Source organism: Homo sapiens, chromosome 17, assembly GCF_000001405.40.
Source record: "Homo sapiens chromosome 17, GRCh38.p14 Primary Assembly".
Lineage (NCBI taxonomy): Eukaryota > Metazoa > Chordata > Mammalia > Primates > Hominidae > Homo > Homo sapiens.
Window position 1 is genome coordinate 50,436,306 of NC_000017.11, and position 24,679 is coordinate 50,460,984.

Genomic DNA, 24,679 nt, shown 5'->3' on the forward strand with positions numbered 1-24,679 from the left:
TTTTTAGTAGAGACGGGGTTTCACCGTGTTAGCTAAGTTGGTCTCGATCTCCTGACCTTGTGATCCACCTGCCTTGGCCTCCCAAAGTGCTGGGATTACAGGCGTGAGCCACCACGCCCGGCCTGTTGTTGTTATTATTTTCCTGCGACAGAGTTTCACTCTTGTTGCCCAGGCTGGAGTGCAATGGTGCAATCTCGGATCACTGCAACCTCTGCCTTCCGATTTCAAGTAAGTTTTCCTGCCTCAGCCTCCCGAGTAGCTGGGATTACAGGCATGTGCCACCACACTCAGCTATTTTTTGTATTTTTAGTAGAGACAGGGTTTCGCCATGTTGGTCAGGCTGATCTTGAACTCCTGACCTCAGGTGATCCACCTACCTCGGCCTCCCAAAGTGCTGGGATTACAGGTGTGAGCCACCATGCCCAGGCAGTTCTTTTTTTTTTTTTTTTCCTGAGGCTCTTTTTATGCTTTTAATGGCCCTCATGCATTAAAATGGCCATCAATTAAGAAAATGACCATTTAGTAGTGATCTTTTTGGGATTTTATTTGTCACAACAGCACCTTTGTCTTGAACAATAGTTGCACATTGTAACTAGTATAAATATATCACCTATTTATTCAGGTACATAAAAATTATAATTTTATTTCAAGATAAAACAGCTATTACAGGTTCAGACTCAGCAGTTCAGCATTGTCCTTCCTGCACAAGCATTGGCCATCTCTACTCCCATATCAACGACCACTGGAAGGTCAACCACTAGCCTAGTGTCTGTGCAAATTAGGCAAAGGAGCCCCCCAAGAGGATGCAGCCCCATGGCATGTGGCTTGGCGAGTGGCACATGGACTAGAAGAATGAGATCACAAAACTTTCAGTGGTGTGCAAGGGAGACGGGAAGGGAGAGCCTGCCTTTCGACTGCCATGAGCTAGGAGATATATTGGACCAATGAGCTATAACACAAGAGTGAATATGTTGAATGAGGACTGAGGACTTAGCTATGAGTACAGCATGTGAATTTCATGGACAAGTGAGGGCTCTTGCTTATTGCATAAATGTTGGTCTTGGCTAGGCACAATGGCTTACGCCTGTAATCCCTACACTTTAGGAGGCTGGAGTGGGAGGGTTGCTTGAGGCCAGGAGTTTGAGACCAGCCTGGGCAACACAGCAAGACCCTGTCTCTACTAAATAAATAAATAAATAAATCCCAGCTGAGCGTGTGGCTCCTGCCTGTGGTCCCAGCTACTAGGAGGTTGAGACAGGAGGATCACTTGAGCCTAGAAGTTTCAGGCTGCAGTGGGCCGTGATCACGCCATTGCACTCCAGCCTGGGCAACAGAGTGAGACCCTGTCTCAAAAAAAAAAAAAGTTGGTCTTGACCTTGACCCTTTACATAACAGGCGCTGTGGGTCTCCTGCCCATGCTAGGAAGTTGCTTCATCTTTTGGATATTGTAGACACCCTTAGTAGGAGATCATCAAGCTCCTTGTATTTTCCCTCTTAAAACTTTCATGTGAAAAAAAATTTGAAACACAATTACATGGAAAAATAACAAACACCTGTGTGTCTGACAGGGAATAAAAATTTAACCTTTCTTGTTTTCAGAAAAATTATAAATGAAAGAAAACACTACAGATCAAATTGAAGTCCCTTTTCTGTCCCTCCTGCAGCTGACCCCCACCAGAGAGCCACCATCATAAATTTAATATATGTTGTGCTGAAGCACATTTTATACTTTTAGCATGTCTCTGAATCCATAAATAGTACAGTTGTCCCCCAGTATCTATGGGGGGTTGGTTCCAGGACCTCCCTTGTATACCAAAATCCTTGGATGCTCAAGCCTATGATATAAAATGGTGCCATATAACCTATGTGCATCCTCCTATGTACTTTAGATAATCTCTAGACTACTTATAATACCTAATACAGTATCTACACATCACTTCATTTGTGTGGATTCAACATAGTACTTAGTAAGCAGCAAGCTCAAGATCTAAGATATTAGTTTTACCTGCTGTATAGCAGTCCATCCTATGACTGTATCTCTAGCAGTGAAATTGCTGTGCTGAAGAGTTGACATTTTCAGCTTTTTTACGTATTGCTCTGGTGAGACTGTGCTACCGTGACCACCAGCAGCAACCAAGTTTTGCTGTTTCCCCACATCCTTGCAAATATTTAGCATTGCTGGACTTTAAAGTGTCTGCTGCTGGGCTCAGTGGCAGTTTGCTTTTCAGAACTTTGTGGAATTTTTTTTTCCAAATATTTTTCTTTTTCTTTTTTTTTGGGAGATGGAGTCTCACTCTGTCACCCAGGCTGGAGTACGACAGCGCTGTCTAGGCTCACTGCAACCTCCACCTCCCAGGTTCAAGAGATGCTCCTGCCTCAGCCTCCCGAGTAGCTGGGATTATAGGCGTCTGCCACCACACCTGGCTAATTTTTGGATTTTTAGTAGACATGGGGTTTCACCATATTGGCCGGGCTGGTCTCAAACTCCTGATCTCAGGTGATCCACCTGTCTCCGACTCCCAAAGTGCTAAGATTACAGGCCTGAGCTACCATACCTGGCCCCAGTATTTTTCAATCTAAGGTTGATTGAATCCACAGATGCAGAAACCATGGATACAGAGGGCTGACTATATCTTGTATCATTTGATCTGTTTTTAAAGTTTATATTTGTTTAAACATGGAAAGTACTTAGAATCATGTTATGTGAGTAATAAGTGCTCTTAGTCTTGGATTTTTTTGTGTATCAATAAACAATACATATTTTATGCCTTTTTTTTTTCAAGAGACAGGGTCTTGCTGTCTCCCAGGCTGCTGGAGTGCAATGACGCCATCATGGCTCACTGCAGCCTCAACCTCCTGGGCTCAAGTGATCCTCCCAGTTCAACCTCCCGAGCAGCTGGAACGACAGGTGCATGCTACCACACAGCTTTTTTTTTTTTTTTTTTTTTTTTTTTAGAGATGGTCTTGCTATGTTGCCCAGGCTGGTCTCAAACTCCTGGGCACAAGCAGTCTTCCCACTTTGACCTCCCAAAGTGCTGGGATCACAGGCATGAGCCACCGTGTCCAGCATTATTATGCTTTTATAATTTCAGCAAAAATAGTATCATAGTTCTTTTCTTCTTTCATACAGTAGTATGTGTGTTACAGATCTATTCATCTCAGATGGACATAAGTTGAGACCTGTAGATCTAAGTTATTGGTTTTACCTGCTGTATAGCAGTCCATGCTATTACTATATCTCTAGCAGTGAAATTGCTGTGCTGAAGAGTTCTTTTTTAGGTATTGCCCTGGCGAGACTGTGCTACTGTGACCACCAGCAGCAACCAAGTTTTGCTATTTTCCCACATCCTTGCAAATATTTAGCATTGCTGGACTTTAAAGTGTTTGCTGCTGGGCTCAGTGGCACGACCCTGTAGTCCTAACTACTTTGGAAGCTGAGGTGGAAGGATCACTTGAGGCCAGGAGTTTGAGGCCAGCCTGGGCAACATAGACACTATTGCTAAAAAAAAGAGTTTGCCGCTCTGGTGGGGGTGAAAGAGTATCTCGTTGTGGTTTTAATTTATACTTCCCTGATTACCAGTGAGATTGGGCATCTTTTAAAATGTTTATTGGTAATGTCTCCTGTGTCTGTTCTGTTCCTATTCATTGCCCATTTATTGTGTGAGATTATTTGTCCTTATTGATTTGTGTTTTTTAAAACACAGGCTAAATATTAATCCTTTGTCTCATATATAAAATGAAATTTATAAATCCAGGCTGTTGCTTGTCTTTTAGCCTTGTTGATGATGTATGTTTCTCTGTGGACCTAGGGACCAGCCTCCCATGGGGGGTAAGGAGCAGAGGCCAGTCCATGGCTTGGAACAAAACAGGATATTGCTTTCAATTTAATTTTGAAAGCCTCACTGGTGGCTAGCTAGTATGGCACCCTCCCCAGGAAGCAGGGGGTGGCCTCAGCATGGGGACTGTTCCTGCAGTCTCTGGGCCCCTCACAAATCAAGGTTCTGAGTCCTTCATCCTCCCTCCCCAGTGGCTTCTGAAGAGGCCTTGCCCAGGGCCTGAGGCATTTCCACCCCCCGACAGGGGCAGGGTCCACCTGTAAACCTCTGGCCCAGGTTCCAAGAACCTCTACCCAGCAGGTAATATGTAACAGGAGGCAAAACAAACAGCTTCTCCTCTTATGTTCTCCATGGCAGACCTGTTTGCCCAGGCATTTGCAATCCTCCCTGCCAACTGTGGCTCCCTCAGAGCCCAGCTCTGCCTGTGGTCTCTACATGACCATGTCAGAACTGTGCAATCCTTTGTGCCCAGTGACCTCTAGCCCCCGACTTTAGTTGCCAGCCCTGAGTGTCACAGAATGCCACAGCTATTTCACCTGCATTGCCCTGAACCAGCTGGCTCGTGTTTTCTGTCCAGTTCCTGCTGGTAGGCAAGGCTGGGCTGGGCAGGGCTAATGCTGGGGCAGAAGGCTTTCCAGGTGGGTCCGACCAGGTGGCTGCACAGGTAGGGTGCAGAGCCACTATGGGTTGGTGCCAGGAGAGGTGAGCTGGCTCACAAGAGCAGAACAATGAGAGAAGAGGCAGCAAAGAAAAAGAATCAGATACCACAAGGAGATGGAAAAGTCAGTGTGTGCTCAAGGACTGCCAAGTGGGAGGCCTAGTGGGGGCAGCTGCTGAAGGGGCCATCCCGGGAGGGGCTCCCCATGGACTGGAGGCACTCAGACGGCTCCCCGTCAGCCTGCAGGGCCCCCAGGGCAGGATGTGGATGGGCTGCAGAGTAAAGAGTAGTACTCTTGGAAAAGGGTCCAGATTTGCCACCCATCAGGGTCAGAACCTTAAGAAAATGAACTACTTGCTTCTTCATCCTTAAAAAGAAATGATCTGAGAGTAATGTGAGAATCATATGAGACACCCAGGCTGTGCAGTGGCACGATGTCGGCTCACTGCAGCCTTGATCTCCCCAGGCTCAGGTGATCCTCCCACCTCAGCCTCCCCAGTAGCTGGGACCACAGGTATGCACGACCACACCCAGCTAAATTTTTTTGGTGTTTTTTGTAGGGATGGGGTTTCACCATGTTGCCCAGGCTGGTCTCGAACTCCTGGGCTCAAGGGATCCGCCCACCTTGGCTTCCCAAAGTGGTGAGATTACAGGCGTGAGCCACCATGCCTGGCCTGGCGGTCCTTTTTAAGTCACAGGGCTCTGAAAAGATTCATGTTGTATTGTATTGGGGTCTTGGAAGCCAGGCAGTCCTGGGTTTGAATCCCAGGTTGGCTGTTTACATGCTCTGTGGCTTTGGGTGAGGTGCTGCATTTCTTGGAGCCTCATTCCTTCATCTGTAAAATGGGTATGTATCTTGGTCAGGGAGTGGTTATGAAGATCACAGATCAGGCATGCAGAGTCTTTGAAGAGAGCTGGCATGAGGACACAGCAATAAACATCAGCTCACATTTTTCTGAAATCTGCTTTATCACCTACAGTGTATTAGACATTTTCCATGTCATTAAATGTTGTGTCTTTATTTATTTATTTATTTATTTATTTTTATTTATTTATTTTGAGACAGGACCTTACTCTGTCTCCCAGGCTGGAGTGCATGGCACAATCATGGCTTACAGCAGCCTCGCCCTTGTGGGCTCAAGCAATTGTCCCACCTTAGCCTCCCAAGTAGCTGGGACACAGACACACACCAGCATGCCTGGCTAATTAAAAACATTTTTTTTGGCTGGGCACGGTGGCTCACACCTGTAATCCCAGCACTTTGGGAGGCCCAGATGGGTGGATCACCTGAGGTCAGAAGTTCAAGACCAGCCTGGCCAACATGGTGAAACCCCATTTCTACTAAAATTACAAAAATTAGCCAGGCGTGGTGGTGCATGCCTGTAGTCCCAGCTATTTGGGAGGCTAAGGCAGGAGAATCGCTTGAACCCTGGAGGCAGAGGTTGCAGTGAGCTGAGATTGTACCACTGCACTCCAGCCTGGGTGACAAGAGTGAAACTCCATCCCAAAAAAACAAAACAAAACAATTTTTTTTTTTTTTTTTTTGTAGAGACTGGGTCTGCTATATTGCCCAGGCTGATCTCAAACTCCTGGAATCAAGTGATCCTCCCGCCTTGGCCTCCAAAAGTGCTGGGATTACAGCCATGAGCCACTACGCCTGGCCTTTTAGTTTAGTTTTGTTTTAGAGACAGGGTCTTTCTCGGTCACCCAGGCTGGCATGCAGTGACACATTCATGGCTCACTGCAGCCTTGACCTACTAGGCTCAATCAAACATCCTGCCTTAGCCTCCCAAGTAGCTGGGACCACAGGTGCACACCACCACACCTGGCTAATTTTTAATTTTTTTGTAGAGACGGGGTCTCAATATGTTGCTCAGGCTGGCCTGAGCTCCTGAATTCAAGCGATTTTCCTGCCTTGGCATCCCAAAGCGTTGGGATTATAGGTCGTGAGCCATTTTGCCTGACCATGTCTTCATTTTTTAATGGCAGTATTGCATTGTATATGCTCTCTAATTTAGTTATCTAATCTCTTACTCATAGGAATAATTTTTTTTTCCCAGTTCTTTGCTAAGTGGCAATTAATCATACCTTTAGGCATTTTTTAGGTTTTATTTCTTTTTTTTTTTTCTGAGACGGAGTCTCACTCTGTTCCCAGACTGGAGTGCAGTGGCGCAATCTCGGCTCACTACAACCTCCGCCTCCTGGGTTCAACTGATTCTCGTGCCTCAGCCTCCCGAATAGCTGGGACTATGGGTGCACGCCACCATGCCCGGCTAATTTTTGTATTTTTAGTACAGACAGGGTTTTACCATGTTGGCCAGGATGGTCTCGATCTCCTGACCTTGTGATCCGTCCACCTCAGCCTCCCAAAGTGCTGGGATTACAGGCGTGAGCCACCGCGCCCGGCCAGGTTTTTGTTTGTTTGTTTGTTTGTTGTTGTTGTTTTTTAGAATAGATCCCTAAAAGTAGAATTGCCAGGAGGCCAAACAGCTTCTCCCCTTAGATTCTCCATGGCAGACCTGTTTCAAAAGGTATGCATATTCAGAATGTTAGTAGATATTACCAAATCAGAAGGAATCCAGATTTACAGGTTTTGAAGCTAACACAGTTTGGGATGCCCTCTTTCTAAACAAGAATAAAAAGCTCTTAAGTATCAGATTTTGTGCAAACTGAAGATCGATTTAGAATAAGAAAAGAATTTGCTACCAATTGCTGCGAGCTTGAAGATTCTCTTTTGAGCTCTCTTTAAGCAATTTGTCAGAAATGCTGACAGATAAATGCTTCTTGATTTGCAGCCAGCTTTCCCTCTCCAATTTCCAGGCACGCCCAGCACTAGGATGGTAGGGAGGGGCCAGGCTGGGGGGCATGCTAAAGTGTAAGTTTCTTAGGCTTCCTGCCTCTATACTTACCATCTTCTAAAAATCTTATACCAGTTTACACTCTGGTATATTTCTCCACATCCTTGCCAACATTCCATATAATCAATAACTCCTGTTTTTATGTTGAAATTCATAGCCATTTTATTAATCTTCTCTACTTGGGGAGTTTTTTTTAGGCCCTATTGAATGCAGCGTGATCATCTAGTGCTCTAGCTTATCTTAAAATAACCTCTCCCACTGATTGCATAAAGCCAGCAAGAACATGAACCTACTTGGGTTACAAGGATTAACTCTTATTTAGCTGCAACTGCTTTCTAGTACTGCTTATGAATATTCTTTGACAAAAGTGCCTATCATGGAAATTTGAAATTAAATATAGACTCCTCTAGAAAGACAGCAATCTTTGGTTTGGGTAGAGGATTACTGATTTGTTCTATTTTCTCTTCTTGTAATGTTTCATTTATTACAGTATCAGACAGGTTGAATTATTTTATATCTATATATAATTTTTGGAATAGCAGCTTTTTGGCCCCGGTGGTGTAATAATCTAGATAAGTGATCAAAAGGAATTGAGTTTGAAATATCAGCCACTGGCTGGGCGCAGTGGCTCACACCTGTAATCCCAGCACTTTGGGAGGCTGAGATGGACGGATCACTTGAGGTCAGGAGTTTGAGACTAACCTGGCCAACATGGCAAAACCCTATCTCTACTAAAAATACAAAAAAATTAGTTGGGCACGGTGGTGCATGCCTGTAGTCCCAGCTACTCCGGAGGGTGAGGCAGGAGAATCATTTGAACCAGGGAGGTAGAAGTTGCAATGAGCTGAGATCGCACCACTGCACTCCAGCCTGGCGATAGTGTGAGACTCCGGCCCAAAAAAAAAGAAAAAGAAATATCAGCTGCTAAAGGATCAGAGACTAGATATCTTCCCCAGCCCCCGAGTTTCTCTCTCTGCAAACACACACACACACACACACACACACACACACTTTTGCCACCATCTGAAAATAAGTTGCAGGCATCATAATATCCATATTTTTCATCTTTGCTTATCTCGTGGGGAACAAATGCCTCATGTTTGTTTTTCTTTGATCTGTGACATGGGCACCTCTTCCTATGCTTACTGGCCATTTGTCTTCCATCTTCTGTGACTTTGTGGCAGATTTGGTCATTATTGTCTTCTGTGTGTAAGTGTCACTTGGTCTGTTTTGGTGGAAAAATGTTTGCAATTAGATAATGTGGCTTTTTTTTGAGAGATTGGGGCTCACTCTGTTGCCCAGGCTGGAGTGCTGTGGCATAATCATAGCTCACTGCAACCTTGAAGTCCTGGGCTCAAGTTATCCTCCTGCCTCAGCCTCCTGAATAGTTGAGACCACAGGTGCATGCCACTACCCCTGGCTAATTTTTAAATTTTTTATAGAGACAGGATCTCACTGCATTGCCCAGGCTGGTCGTGAACTCCTGGACTCAGGGAATCCTCCTGCCTCACCCTCCCAAAGTGTTGGGATTATAGGCATGAGCTACCGTGCCTGACTTACATGAGGCTGTCAATCAACCTTTTTAGCAGCATCTTGGACCAGTTGCTTAACTTTTTCATCTCAGTGTTCTCCATCTTTAAAACAGGAATAAAAGTCCTCATCTCCCACAAATTGCTGGGACAATTTGCCTCGAAAACCTGTATGATTGCATTACAGAGGAGATACTCAGTGTTCCTTTTCTCTTCTGTTCAGATACCCTGCAGATTTACCCATCTCTGCCTTCCTCTCTGAGAGTGCTTATCTTTTCATAAAGCAGAATCATTACATTCCCGACGTGTCATCAAAAGTGTCTACAGGCTGGGCATGGTGGCTCACGTCTGTAATCCCAACACTTTGGGAGGCCAAGGCAGGAAGAATGCTTGAGCTCAGGAGGTCAAGACTAGCCTGGGCAACATAGGGAGACACTCTGACTCTACAAAAAAAATTTTTTTTAATTATCTAGGTCTGCTGGTACATTCCTGTGTTCCCAGCTACTCAGGAGGCTGGGATAGGAGGATCACTTGAAATTGGGAGGTCAAGTCTGCAGTGAGCTGTGATCATGCCACTGCACTCCAGCCTAGGCTTCAGAGCAAGACCCCATCCTATCTTTAAAAAAAAAAAAAAAATTGTAAAGCTGCCCTCTGGATCTTGCTGGAGCCTTGCATTCAGTAAGCCATATTCTAAATGAACAACTATGCATCATCAGCTGCTCTGTGCTCCTGAACCTGTAGAACATGCATCCACATCTGAAACAGGTTGGCAGGGCTAACAGTCACATTGTACCATGACTGTCCAGAAAACACAGCCTCAGGAAGGAAAAGCCTATGACATTCAACATTGGGACTGTTTATTTTCTTGAGTAATTTCTAAGACAGAGATCATGAACAGATGTGTTTTCTTGGCTTGCCCAGCTTTATTTATTAATGTATATATTTTGCACAGATGTGCTATGTGCTGCTTTTATTTTTCTGACAGAATGTTAAATAGGTACTGCAATGTTGCTAAATTTAGTTTATTAATTATGACTACATTGGCAGTAGCTTAAGCCCTAGAAGGTTTTTTTTTTTAAAACTTCGTGTTGAAATATATGACAGATTCAGAAAAGTACACTTTTTTTTGGAGGCAATCTTGGCTCACTGCAATCTCCGCCTCCCAGATTCAAGCGATTCTCCTGCCTCAGCCTCCTGAGTAGCGGGGATTACAGGCACATGCCACCATGCCTGGTTAATTTTTGTATTTTTAGTAGAGACGGGGTTTCACCATGTTGGTCAGGCTGATTTCGAACTCCTGACCTCAACTGACCCACCCACCTCGGCATCCCAAAGCCACCACACCCAGCCAGAAAAGTACACATATTTTAAGGCCCACTTGATGTACTTTTGATAAAGTGAACACACCCATGTAACCAGCACTCAAATCAAGACACAGAACATGACCAGAAACCAGGAGTTCCCTCGTGACCTCTTTAAGTCACTGACCCTCACCAACTGACCATTCTCCTGACTTCTAACAGCATAGATTAGTTTTGCCTATTTTGTACGTATAAATGGAATTAGACAGTATACCTTTTAAAATCTGGCTTCTTTCATTGAACATTGTTTTATGAGATTCAGATTGCTGGGCATAATCATAGTTCCTTTGCTCTCATTATTGTATAATTACAAATAAGTCACCACTTATTTATCTGTTCCATCGTTGATGGACATTTGGGTATTTTAAATATTGGAAATGATACAAATATCCTAGTACCTGTCTTTTGGTGAGCACATGTTTGATTTCTATTGGATATATACCTAGGAGTAGATTATGCACATTATTTTTTAAGTGTACATTCAATGGCTTATAGTATATTCATAGATATGTGTAACCATCACTATAGTCAATTTTAGAACATTTTCATCACCTCACAGAGTTACCCTATGTCCTTGTAGCTATTATCTCTCTGTCTTCCCATCCCTCCCAGCACTAAGCAACCACTTAATCTGTTTTCTGTCTCTATAGAATTACCTATTCTGGACATATATATGGAATCATAGTGTCTTGTATGATTAAAATAAGGATGGCCAGGTGTGGTGGCTCACTCTTGTAATCCCAGCACTTTGGGAGGTTGAGACAGGTAGATCACTTGAGCTCAGGAGTTCAAGAACAGCCTGGGCAACATGGCGAAACCCAGTCTCTACCAAAAATACAAAAATTAACCGGATGTGGTGGTGCGCGCTTAGAGTCCCAGCTACTCGGGGGGTGCTGGGACAGGAGGATCTCTTGAGCCCCAGAGGCAGAGGTTGTAGTGAGCCGAGATCGCGCCACTGCACTCCAGCCTGGGCCACAGAGTGAGACTCTGTCTCAAAATAATAATAATAATAATAATAATGAGATGATCAAAGTATGATTTCACGAGTCACACAGTTTATTGCCATACAAAGAGTTTTTTTCTTTTTTTGTTCACAGTGCTTAAAGCGGGGAGAATAAGAAAACAAATCTCATAGGGAATACACTCAATAGAGGAGGTCCCTTAGCCACATAGTGAGTGAGTTCCAGTCTGTTAGAATCCAATTATTAAAGTCTAATTGCTCACTTAGGATGAAAGCAAGCCTCTGTGGAAAGTAGTCTGACTGACGCTTGAGGCGTACCTTTATAGAGAGATTCTCAGCTAGATGGCTTGACCATCCTAGAGGGTATACCGGAGTTGGTGAAGCTTTGGAAATTAGCTCAAAGGCTGATAGGGTGTGGCCTTAGCTCAGCCTGAGCTTTCACTCTTCAGAGAAGCGCTCAGAGTGTAGCCCTGCCACAGCCCAAGGTCTCAAAGTGTCTGTCAAACTCTTGGGTTTATATGTACAGTCTGGCGTTGCTTAACAACGGGAACACATTCTGAGAAATACATCAGACAATTTTGTCATTGTGCAAACATCATCAAGTGCACTTACACAAATCTAGATGGTAGAGCCTATTACACACCTAGAGCCTGTGCTCCCAGGCTGCAAAGCTGTACAGCATGTTACTGTCCTAAAGACTGTAGGCAATTGTAACACAAGGGTAAGTAGTCGTGTATGTGAACATATCTAAACGTAGAAAAGGTATAGTCAAAATACAATATTACAATATAATCTTATGGGACCACTGTCATATATGCCATCCATCATAAGCCAAAATGTCATTTTGCAGTGCATGACTGTATTTTAGAGTCCAGTAGCTGAGGTCAGTAGTTCACAAATGGGGTCTGATAAGGTGTGATTGTGTCACATTCACAAGGGGAGGGGAGTACACTCCATGTTCTTGTCACAGCAAAACATGTCACTCCCATAGCAAATGTCAACATAAATAACAAACAGAAAAAAAGTCTTCAAGTATAACGAGTTTAATTGGGAATGAGCATTGCAATGAGGAATATGTATGCCACAGTAAACTATGGGCATATTCACAGAGGTAAAGAAGACAAGGATTTTTAAAGGTAAAATGAGGGTTACATATGTTGTCTTGAAACAATTATCCTCGGCTACAAGGATCAAAAACAAGGGTGGCATCAGTCCAGGGCTGGACAGGCAGTTGCTGGGCAAATGTCCTCACAGAAGCATTTTGTGTGTGTGTGTAAGATTGAGGTGGCCTTTGTGCAAGGTTGTGGTTTTGGCAAAGTCTCTTGTGATATCTTTTGTTATCAGGCAGTCGTGCACCAGAACCCTCCCTGCATGTTCTTACCTGGCTCCATTTTGTCAGGGTTTGACACAAGTGACTCCATTTTGATTCTAACAACTTTTTCACAAACTATGTATGTATTTGGAATTATTTCAAAGTTGTATGACATATACAATATGTAGTCTTTTTTTTTTTTTTTTTTTTTTTGGAGATGGAGTCTCGCTCTGTCACCCAGGCTGGAGTGCAGTGGTGCAATTTGGGCCTGCTGCAACTTCTGCCTCCTGGGTTCAAGCAATTCTCCTGCTTCAGCCTCCCGAGTAGCCGGGACTACAGGCGCCCACCACAATGCCCAGCTAATTTTTGTGTTTTTGGTAGAGACAGGGTTTCATCATGTTGCCCAGGGTGCTCTCGAACTCCTGAGCTCAGGCAATCTGCCTCCCTCGGCCTCCCAAAGTGCTAGGATTACAGGCATGAGCCACCACGCCCGGCCCAATATATAGTCTTTTGTTACTGGCTTCTTTCACTTATAAATGTTTTCAAGGTTCCACCATGTTGTAATATGTATCAGTACTTCATTTCCTTTTTTTTTTTTCTTTGAGACTGAGTCTCGCTTTGTCACCCAGGCTGGAGTGCAGTGGCGCGATCTCGGCTCACTGCAAGCTCTGCCTCCAGGGTTCTTGCCATTCTCCTGCCTCAGCCTCCCAAGTAACTGGGACTACAGGCGCCCGCCACCACGCCCGGCTAATTTTTTTTGTATTTTTTTTTTTTTAGTAGAAACGGGATTTCACTGTGTTAGCCAGGATGGTCTCCATCTCCTGACCTCATGATCCACCCGCCTCGGCCTCCCAAAGTGCTCGGATTACAGGCGTGAGCCACCACTCCTGGCTACTTCATTTCCTTTTTAAAAATTGCTTTATTGTAGTAAAATACACATAACATACAATTTACCATCTTAACTATTGAAGTTTGCAGTTTAGTGGTATTAAGTACAGTACACTCACACTTTTGTGCAAGCATCAGCACCACCCACCTCCAGAACTTTTTCATCTTTCCCAACTGAAATTCTGTACCCATTAAACGATAAGTTCCCATTGCCCCCTCCTCAGCCCCCTCTACTGCTAGACAGCTTTTACCTTCAGTTTCTTCTTTCACTTAATAAACGAGAGGGTCCGTTGCTGACTAATGGGATTGCTTCTCTAAGTGGAGGCCTTTTCTAAGTGGAGGCCTTCTTGCATATATACGATTGAGTTTATCCTAAAAACGGGTAACAGAAAATGTGGTTGTAGAAAGACAAGAGGTGGAGACACAAACTGGCCAAGGGTTTTCATACTGGGTGTCCTATCCACAGGCCACAGCAGCCCCACCGCAGATCTGCCCGATTCTTTGGCATCAAGAAGTTGATCCAGCTCACGCCTGTAATCCCAGCACATTGGGAGGCCGAGGCAGGTGGATCACTTGAGGTCAAGAGTTTGAGACCAGCCTGGCCAACATGGTGAAACCCCATCTCTACCAAAAAATACAAAAATTAGCCAGGTGTGGTGGCACACACTTGTAATCCCAGCTACTCAGGAGGCTGAGGTGGGAGAGTCGCTTGAACCCAGGAGGCAGAGGCTGCAGTGAGCCAAGATCATGCCACTGCACTCCAGCCTGGGAGATAGAGTGATACTTTGTCTCAAAAAAAAAAAAAAAAGTGATCCTGCGAGCCATTTCCATTTTGTGGATTTGCTGGCAGGTTTCAGAACTCTCCTGCTGTCACTGTCAGCATAGCTTCTCATAGTACTACCAATGCTTAATGTCCTTAATGAGTTCATCCACGGTGAGGACTCTCTTTAGGGTCCTGTATGTGCCTTCCACATTCCCTTCCTGTGCCATCATACTCCTGGCAATGAACTTCAGGTTTTAAATCCATGAGCTTGGATCTAAGTCTCCACTCTGCCAAACCTGATGTTCCATACCCATTTGACCTCTGTAATCCAAATAATAGATTCCATTGTAGGGATGGATATGCCACATTTTGTTTATCCGTTCATCTGTTGCTGGACATTTGGTTTGTTTCCGCCTTTTGGGTATTGTGAATAGTGCTGCTGTAAACATTCATGTACGGGTTTTTGTTTGTTTTGTTTGAGACAGAGTTTCACTCTGTCACCCAGGCCTGTTGTGTAGTGGTGTAATGGTAGCTCGCTGTAGCCTCGACCTCTCAGGCTCAAGTGATCCTTCAGAGTAGCTAGGCCTCCGGAGTAGCTGGGACTACAGGTGTGCACCACCATGCCCAGCTAACTTTTAAATTTTTTTTGTAGAGATGGAATCTCACTATGTTGCCCAGACTAGTCTCAAACTCCTGGGCTCAAGCGATCCTCCCACCTTGGCTCAGAGAGTACTGGGCTTACAGGCATGAGCCACTGTGCCTGGCCCAAGTTTTTGTTTGAACACATGTTTTCAGTTCTTTTGGGCATATATTATAACTAGGAGTGGAATTGCTGGGTTATATGCTAATTCTATATTTAACTTTTTGAAGAGCCACCACACTGTTTTCCAAGCAGCTGAATCATTTTACATTCCCACTAGCAATATATAAGGATTACAGTGTCCTCACATGCTTGCCAACACTTGTTATTTTGTTTTTTTATTTTTTATTTTTTTGAGACAGAGTTTTGCTCTTGTCACCCAGGCTGGAGTGCAATGGCACAATGTTGGCTCATTGCAAACTCCACCTTTCAGGTTCAAGCGATTCTCCTGCCTCAGCCTCCCAAGTAGCTGGGATTACAGGCACCCATAACCACACCCGGCTAATTTTTGTATTTTTAGTAGAGACAAGGTTTCATCATATTGGCCAGGCTGACCTCGAACTCCTGACCTCTGGTGATCTGTTCGCCTTGGCCTCCCAAAGTGCTGGGATTATAGGCGTGAGCCACCGCGCCCAGCCCTTGATTTTATTTTATTTTTTTGCCTTCCAAGTGAGCATGATGTGGTACCTCATTGTGGTTTTAATTTGCGTTTCATCTGCTTGTTAGCCATTCATAGATTACCTTCAGCAAGATGTCTACTATTTTTTAATTGAGTCATTATGTGCATTATTTTTAATTCATTCATTTGGTCATTCATCTGAGCACCTCTTATGTTCCTGGCACTCAGACACTTGGGATAAAGCAGTGAACACATTAGTTGCCAACACTGGAAAGTCAAGAGAATTCTTAAAAAATAAAATTTCTTGCTCCTGACTTCTCTACTCAGATCTGGGCCTGAGTTCTCAGGAGCCAGCCCTCTGCTGGCACCTTTAAGGTGGGGCTGTGCTTTGTTTCTTCAAGGCTCCTATCTGGTCTCAGTCCCACCTGGGCCCTGAGAGCCTTGGGTTTTACAACACCCATGCTAAGTAGCTGATGCCTTTCCAAGTAGTTACTTTAGTTCTGAGTTGAGAACAACTGGCACTGCTGTTTTTCCTCTAACTCCTTAAGCTTCCCATGTCGCATTGAAAAAAAAAATTCCTAAAACCAAATCCCTTTAAGAATAGAAGTTGGGGCACCGTGGCTCATACCTGTAGTCCCAGCTACTTGGGAGGCTAAGATGGGAAGATCTCTTAAGCCTGAGAGCTTGAGGCTTCAGTGAGCAGTAATTGTGCCACTGCACTACAGCCTGGGTGACATAGTGAGTCTCAAAACAAAACGAAAAAATAGAAAAAGAAGTGTCGGGTCGAGGGGTGGGGCCGGGGGAGGGAGAGCATCAGGGTAAATAGCTAATGCATGCAGGGCTTAATACCTAGGTGACAGGTTGATAGGTGCAGCAAACCACCATGGCAAACGTTTACCTGTGTAACAAACCTGCACGTTCTACACGTGTATCCCAGAACTTAAAATAAAGTTAAAAAAAAGAAAGAAAGAAAGAAAAAGAAGTGGCCACCCTTTATGCCCCAGGCATTTGTGGTGTGGGCAAGGAAGGAGAATTGGTTTGTTTATGCTTCCTCTTTCGAAATGATGGGTGGGTCCTATGTTTATGAGCACATTGCATTGATATGAGTTTGTAGAACTCTTTTAATTCCTTGGAAGAGCCACCTGTTTCCAACTCAACCCTGCCCTACCCTGGTCCCAGTTTCTTGGGATCAGTTAGTAGAAATTGTGGAATAATAAAATTGAGGTTATATTATCTCTGATGATCAGATAGGAGATAAATTCCAAACCAGAAGGAACAGGAATCACCTATGCCCTCTCCTTTCTCCCAGATCTGAGGGTGGGGCATGGGCAGGCATGGCTGTAACGTTGAGGCAGTTGCACCGGGTCCTCTGCTCCTGGCTCGGGTGTTCATCCGCCACGTGATCCACTTGATCTCTTTGTACTTCAGCTTCTTTACCTGTGGAATGGGAGTTCATGATACTCACCTGCATTTTTTTAAACATTTTTTTAAAATTTGGGACGGAGTTTCACTCTGTGGGCCAGGCTGGAGTGCAGTGACACAATCTCGGCTCACTGCAACCTCTACCTCTTGGATTCAAGCTTCTCCTGCCTTGGCTTCCTGAGTAGCTGGGATTACAGGCACACACCACCACACCCAGCTAATTTTTTGTATTTTTAGTAGAGACGGGGTTGCACCATGTTGGCCAGGCTGGTCTCAAACTCCTGACCTCAGATGATCCACCCACCTCAGCCTCCCAAAATGTTGGGGTTACAGGCGTGAGCCACCGCGCTCGGCCTCACCTGCATTTTTCTAGGATTATATTAGTGTGTCTCAAAGAAACCCAAACTGAGAGTGACTGAAAGAAGATGGGGGCAAGGGAATGGTTGTGTGTCTTGACTATTATCAATATCAATATCCTGGCTATAATATTGTACTATAGTTTTGCAAGATGTTAACATTGGGAAAATTTGAATATTGATGCTGAAGAATGCATGAGCTATTTCTGTATTGTTTCTTTTTTGTAGTTTTTTGTGGTTGTTGTTTTGGGTTTGTGTGTGTGTGTGTGTGCTGTTGTTGTTGTTGTTGTTGTTGTTTCTGAGACAGGCTCTTGCTCTGTTGCCCAGGCTGGAGTGCAGTGGGTGTAATCAACCTTGAACTACTAGGCTCAAGAGATCTTCCTGCCTCAGCGTCCCAAGTAGCTAGGAGTACAGGTGCATGCTACTATGCCTAGCTAATTTAAAAAAAAAAAAATTGCCAGCCTGGGCAACATGGCAAAACCCCATCTCTACAAAACATACAAAAAAATAGCCAACCATGGGGTCATACACTTGTAGTCCCAGCTACACAGGAGGCTGAGGTGGGAGAATCACATGAGCCCGGGAGGTCCAGGCTGCAGTCAGTGAGCCATGACTACACCACTGCACTCAAGCCTGAGCGACAGAGTAAGACCGTCCCAAATTTTTTTTTTTTTTTTTTTTTTTTTAGAGACAGGGTCTTGCTCTGTCACCCAGGCTGGTCTCAAACTCCTGGGCTTGAGCAATTCCCCTGCCTTGGCCTTCCAAAGTGCTGGGATTACAGGCATGAGCCACCGTACCTGGCCTGAATATCATTTCTTACATCTGCATATCAATCTACAAATATCCCAAAATAAATAATTTAATTTTCAAAAGCAAAAAAAAGAAAAAAGAAAGGAGATGGGAGTTTCTTTATCTGGGAGACAGCCAGTCTGTGACTGGTGTGGTAGCTCCTGCTGTCCAGGCGTCAGGCTCCTCTCTTGTTGCTCTGTGGTGCCCCAAATCACTATGTGGTCCAAAATGCTACCATTCTTTTCCCGTCACAAGCAGCATTCCAGCCTGAGGAAGAAAAAAAAGAGAAGATGTCCCTTCCTCTGAAAGTTTCTTCTCTGAAGTTGCACACACTATCTCTCTTTAAACCCCACTGGCCAGGACCTCACCATCTGGCCAGATCGGCTGCCGGGGAAGCTTGGAAACCTGGTCTTTATTCCACACAACGTGGCCAGCTAGATGTCTGAGGGTGTGTCATGAGAGAAGAAGGACCTATTGGGGTTTCTGTCACACCACCTGTCAGAGCCGCTGTGAAGACACAGGAGAAAACACATATGCCAATTGAACTGGATTTTTTTTTTTCCCCCATAAATCAGCCTGCCGATTTCCCAATTAGAATTTCCAGGAGACCACTGTTTGGTCTGAAAACCATGGTGAATAATGGAAAACCAAGTTCCAAACTAAATGGGACTCCTGGTCATTGTGAGAATAGGAGGATGCTTGTTGTGAGGCTGAACACCTGCCGTCCGGCTGGAGTGTGCAGTGGCACCATCTTGGCTCACTGCAACCTCCGCCTCCCGGATTCAAGAGATTTTCCTGCCTCAGCCTCCCGGGTAGCTGGGACTACAGGCGTGCACCACCACGCCTGTTTTATTTTTGTATTTTTAGTAGAGATGGGGTTTCACCATGTTGGCCTGGCTGGTCTCAAACTCCTGACCTCAGGTGATCCACCCACCTCGGCCTCCCAAAGTGCTGGGATTACAGGTGTGATTCATCATTCCTGGCCAGTTCCCAGACTTTATAGGTGGGGAAGGTGAGCTTTAGAAAGGAGAAATCCTGTGTCTTAATTTGAATTCTCCTGAGAACAAGGACTTGGGTGCAGGTAGTTTATTTTGGAGAGTGATCCTAGGAAGTGGGGATAGGAAGTAGAGAGAGTAAACAGGGAGTGGGGAAGCTGATGAGGGGATGTTATTAACATCATCACCCTAGGCAACAAGAGCTTCATTCACCTGGACCTCTGAGAAGGTACAGATACCTCCCAGAAAAGGGGAGACTTGGAGCTCCAGCCCCATGGGGTTGACTGCTGTCCCTGGAGGCATGAGCTCCTCTTCCAGGCTGGGCTGGCCTGCAGAACCAGGGACTCCCACATTGAGGAAGTTCCTGAGCAGGCAGCAGACTCCCAAGGAGCCACCCCAGCAGCTGTAGCTAAAACCAAGGGTGGGCGGAGGAGCTGTGACATAAGACACCCATCACCCACCCAGCCAGCAGCACACCTGCATTGAGACCTCGGGTCCTCGAGTCCCTGGCCTGGTGCATTCTCCCCGTGTCCCCCGAGCTTCAGAGCATCAGCAGTGTTCCTCCTTCACTGTGACGCTTGTCCTCACTTCCCAGGTGAGGAGTCTAAGAAAACAGCCTTTCCATCAGCCCCTGTCGTGACAGACCCTCCAGTGGGATGGTAGTGGCTGCCTCACCCATTTACAGGGCAACCCAGTTTTGCTCCTTCTGCCTTGAAATTTGTTCCTCCCAGAAACTGTCCCTCACAAGGCATGAACAATCAATAGAAGATATACGTGGTCTTCCCAGCACTACAGCTGCAGAATGAGCTGTGGAGTGCCCCGTCCGGAGTCCTGAACAGCTTCAAACTTTTCCCCTTTAGAAATGCCTGACACGCCCCAACCCCAGTAATCATCGTGCATTTAACTTAGGGGTTGCCTCACCCTTGGGAGATCCAAACCCCCAGGCTGACTTCCTGTCCTTCATGGAGGAGAAGGCTCTTGTCTGCAGTGTACTCCTCAGTTTCTACTCAGGGCCAGTGACCTGGAGCCTTGGCACAGAAACCCTGAAGAGAGAAGCTGAGGTAAATCCACTGCTTTGGCCAAGCAGACAGGTGACCTGCAAGAGATGGGAACAGCCTCATCCTTAACACTGCACCCTCTGATAAAAAGGTACCTGGTGGCCGGGCGCGGTGGCTCACACCTGTAATCCTAGCACTTTGGGAGGCCGAGGCGGGCGGATCACCTGAGGTCGGGAGTTTGAGACCAGCCTGACCAACATGGAGAAACTCTGTCTCTACTAAACATGCAAAATTAGCCGGGCGTGGTGGCGCATGCCTGTAATCCCAGGTACTCGGGAGGCTGAGGCAGGAGAATCGTTTGAACCCAGGAGGCGGAGGTTGTGGTGAGCCGAGATCACGCCATTGCACTCCAGCCTGACAACGAGAGCGAAACTCTGTCTTAAAAAAATAATGATAAAAATAAAATAAAATAAAAAAGGTGCCTGGTGGCCAGGTGCGGTGGCTCACACCTGTAATCCCAGGACTTTGGGATGCCAAGGTGGGAGAATCACTTGAGCCCAGGAGTTCGAGACCAGTTCTGGCAACATAGTAAGACTCCATCTCTACCAAAAAATAAAAATAAAAATTAGCTGGGTGTGGTGGCACACACCTGTAGTCCCAGCTACTTGGGAGGCTGAGATGGGAGGATTGCTTGAGTTTGGGAGGTCGAGGCTTCAGTGAGCCATGGTGGCACCACTGCACTCTAGCCCAGTTGACAGAGTGAGATCCTTTCTCAAAGACAAACAGACAAACAATAAAAAAAAAAATGAAAAAAAGACCTCTGGGAAGTCCAGGTGTCACACCCTATTCCTAGGACTGCGTGTCCTCACTGGCCTGCTCTAGGTGACAGTTTCTGAGCTCTTACTCAGACCTAGGTGGGAATGTGAACAGAGCAAATTCTGTTCCCATAGGAGAAGATGTGCTCTGGCTTCCAGACCTTCCAGGCCATCATTGGATATGGGCTAGGCAGTCCCTGGTGGAATCCAGGTAGAAGCTCCCAGGGCCCCCTAGGCTGAGGACCACACCATTGGTGGCCATCTCTGGCCAGGAGGGTGTGGAGGTTTGGAGGGACATGCAGCATCTTCCTTCATCACTAGTGGGATGGGAAGAGGACCAGTTTTCCACTCTAGACCTTGGCAGATCTCAGTAGACCCTGAGGGCCCACAGATTTCATAGACATATGGAATTGAATGAAATTACAAGGGGGAGAAGCAGGAGGAGCTGAGGTTGGTAGTTGAGATGTGAGGAGTGTGGGGAAAGAAACCCCACTTCTGTCCCATGTACCCCTAGGAGAGAGTAGGTTATCTTCTTTTGGTTCTCTTCTTTACCGAATAGCCTTAATCCGAGAGTTGAAATGATTTGTTTACATACATTTCTCTTCCTACCACACTATGGCTACTTAGAGGGCTGGGAGCAGTGTCTTATCCATCCCTGTATCCCTAGTACCTGGCACAGGGCTGGCACATAGTAGGTGCTCACTAAAGCTTGCTTGAATAGATGAGTCAAAGGCGGTTGGGGTGGCTTAGATGGCCAAGAGAGTGGTTGTCAAAGTGTGATTCATAGAATCCTCACCCAGTCCCACATCAGAATCACATGGGATTCTGTTAAAAATTCAGATTCTCCCGGTCCACTCCCCAGAAGCTCTGCAATGAGTAGGCATTGCAGGGGCCCAGGAATTTGCATTCTTTGTGAGATCCTGAGATGATTCCGAAGCAGCTCTCCATGGACCACATCTTGAAAAACTGTCACTTGGAGGAGGGAGTGACACTGGTTGAGAAGGTTCCTTCTGATGTCCCTGGAGGGACAAGGGAGGGATCAGCCCATAAACACAGATCCTGGTTCCAACATCCATCCATCCCTCTTCACTTCATAAATGATGTGGGTCCACTTGGGCCCATGGGTGGAGAAAACCCCAACCCCAGAACCTGGAGTTTGGGGGCTCTCCTCATTCTTCCAGGCCCAATGTCCTCTGCTCTGGACCCTTTGGTTTCAGCTGGGTTCAAGTTCCAGTCACCCTCCCGTTCTCACAGCACTCCCTTTCATTTTCCATGCCCCAGCCACAGAGACAAGCTCTCCTCTGCTGGAAAAGCCCTCCTCTCCCTTCTCTGATGATTAATACTTCCTCACCCTTCAGCTGTCAGCTTAGGCATAAATTTCTTAAGGGAGTTTTCCTTGGAGCCCCAGGTGATCCCAGATTCCGTCTTACAGGTGCTCCTAGGACCACGGCCCCTTCCTTATCTCAGCTTTCTAAACATACATTCATCATTACCAAGGTTGACTGCACTCCTGTCTTTCCCACCAGACCCTTATCTCTGCAAGGACAGGGACTGTATTTGGCTTTGTTCATTTTTTACCATTGGGCCCTCTCTGTGGTGGGTGTTTCCTAAATATTTGTTGGAGGAATAAATGTTGGCTAAGTACTCCGTAGGGCTGAGGAGGCCATAGTATGGGTGGCCCCAGGGCCCAGGTCTAAGAGAGGCTGCCTTAACCCAGCTTTGAGGGGACAGACAATGGGCCTCAGATGGGCTGGGATTCCCCCCACAGTCTGCCTCATGGCTCCCATTTCCTGATTTTCTAGGCTGTTCCCACCCACGAAGAGCTAATATGTCTAATTTCCCCAGAGACAGGGAGCTTCTTAGAAGAAGGACTGTGGCTTGTTCTATCTCTAGTCCTAGCATAGTACTTGGCACATACGGGTGCTCACTGAATGTGTGTCGAAAGCATGGTCGATAAATGCCATGAATGGATGGTAAAATGCCTGTCGACTACAGAGCACTTCACCATTCGCAAAGCACCTTTGCAGGCCTGTTCACGCTTGAACGTCATGGCCCTGCTATGGAATAGGCAAGGCAGTCTCTTCATCCCCTTCGAGCCAAAGAGTAAACAGATAACTTGCCAGGTCCCACTGGGTTTTATTGGTTTGTTGTTTGAGACAGGGCCTCTCTCTGTCACCCAGGCTCAAGTGCAGTGGTGCAACCATGACTCACTGCAACCTCTGCCTCCCAGGCTCGAGTGATCCTCCCCCTTCAACCTCCGGAGTAGCTGGGACTACAGGCATGCGCCACCATACCTGGTTAATTGTTTAAAATGTTTCATAGAGACAGGGTTTCCCTATATTGCCCAGGCTGATCTCGAACTCCTGGGCTCAAGCGATCCTCCTGCTGCAGCCTCCCAAAGTGCTGGCAAGACTTTACAGGTGTGAGCCACCATGCCTGGCTCAGGTGCCACAGTTAATAAAAGGTGGGGAAAGTTAAGTGGAGCAGTAATGGAAGTGCAGGTTCTCCTCCAGCTTGACGTGCCCTTACTTAGGGGTTGTCTCTTACCTGGCAGGGCTGGGAGGAGATGGGTAGTTCCTGAAAGGCCGATGGAGAAAACTGGGGAGTAGGTTACTACTCCCGTGACTGCCCAGGCCTCTACCCAGACCTGTTTCCACCTGTGCACTGAAATGGATAGGTAGCCACATGTGAGAGGTGAAGAGTCCCGGCCCCAGACTAGAACCCGAGCCAGGTCCCGAGCTGGCTGCTTCCTCCACTCAACATCCCCAGCTCAGTACTCTCAGGCTCTTGGTGCCCCTTGCTTATCTGACATCTGGCCCCTTTGCCTTAACTGGCTGCTTTCAGCCAGCTTCTTAATTCCCTGGAGACAGAAACTGCCTGCCTGCCTTGTGACATCATCTGAGAGTGGGAGCTGGAGCCCAGGTGCCATTTGGCATATAGGGGCTTTCTTCTTCATCTGCAGGTGCCCAGGATCTTTAGCACCTGGCACTGAACACCTACAGGCCTGTGGAATAACAGGGGCCGCCCAGCTGCCTCTCTTAGGGCCTCCATCTGCCCTCTCCTTTATCCCTTTCCTATTCTGTCTTTGGCTTTCAGGCCCTCAGGAGAAAAACTGGCCCACCAAGGAGTCTAAAATCCTAAGACCTTGGATTCAAGCCCAGGGTCCAGGCACGCTTCCCTGGTTCCTCAGGAAGGACCCCAGTGACCTGTTTATTCTCCAGGAGGCAGGGGCTAGGGGTGAAGGCATGGTCCTGCTTTGTAAGATCTGTCTGTCTGCACAGGCAGGCTCTCCCAGGCTTCACTATGGCATCTCACCTTTCCCGGGAAGGCGAAGGAGGGCCCTTTGCTCCAGCTTGGTGTAACCTTGTCCCTGTCCTGCTGCCTTGGGATTAGGCTTGAGGTTGGGAAAAGGGTCTGGGGGATTTTAGGCTTACAAGAAGATCTGGAGGAAACCTAGTGGTCTCTAACACATTGTCAGCAGCCTACCCCCTGGCTTGGCTGGGTGTGCCATGCCCTTGGTTCCAGGGAGACTGATCTGGGACAGTCAAACCCATAGCTCCTCTCCCTACAGTTCCAGAGAGGTGGATCGCATGGTCTCCACGCCCATCGGAGGCCTCAGCTACGTTCAGGGGTGCACCAAAAAGCATCTTAACAGCAAGACTGTGGGCCAGTGCCTGGAGACCACAGCACAGAGGGTCCCAGAACGAGAGGCCTTGGTCGTCCTCCATGAAGACGTCAGGTTGACCTTTGCCCAACTCAAGGAGGAGGTGGGTCCTGACCTGGAAACCTCAAAGTGGGCAAGTACTAGCTCCCAAGCTGCCCTAGCTGGGCAGAACCAGGAGCGTGGGCACCTGGCTATGGGGCAATGTGCTAGGGCTG

The 24,679-nt window shown here is 46.5% G+C and overlaps 1 protein-coding gene and 1 pseudogene across 12 annotated transcripts in view; one reads left to right on the forward strand and one right to left on the reverse strand.

Moving 5' to 3' along the window:
• Window positions 1-24,679, forward strand: part of ACSF2 (acyl-CoA synthetase family member 2) — a 48,628-nt gene that overhangs the window by 10,088 nt on the left and 13,861 nt on the right. For 11 of the 12 annotated variants that reach the window (XR_007065473.1, XR_007065474.1, XR_934566.4 and 8 more), the window contains one exon: window positions 24,372-24,567. The exons of the other annotated variant lie outside the window; for it this stretch is intronic. Coding sequence is in view for 6 of the 11 variants with exons in the window: in NM_001288968.2 (NP_001275897.1) it covers window positions 24,372-24,567 (196 nt within the window). In the remaining 5 variants the exon portion in view is untranslated. The remainder of the gene's footprint in view (window positions 1-24,371; window positions 24,568-24,679) is intronic. 12 annotated transcript variants of the gene reach the window in all.
• On the reverse strand, window positions 14,164-14,430 carry MRPS21P9 (mitochondrial ribosomal protein S21 pseudogene 9; annotated as a pseudogene).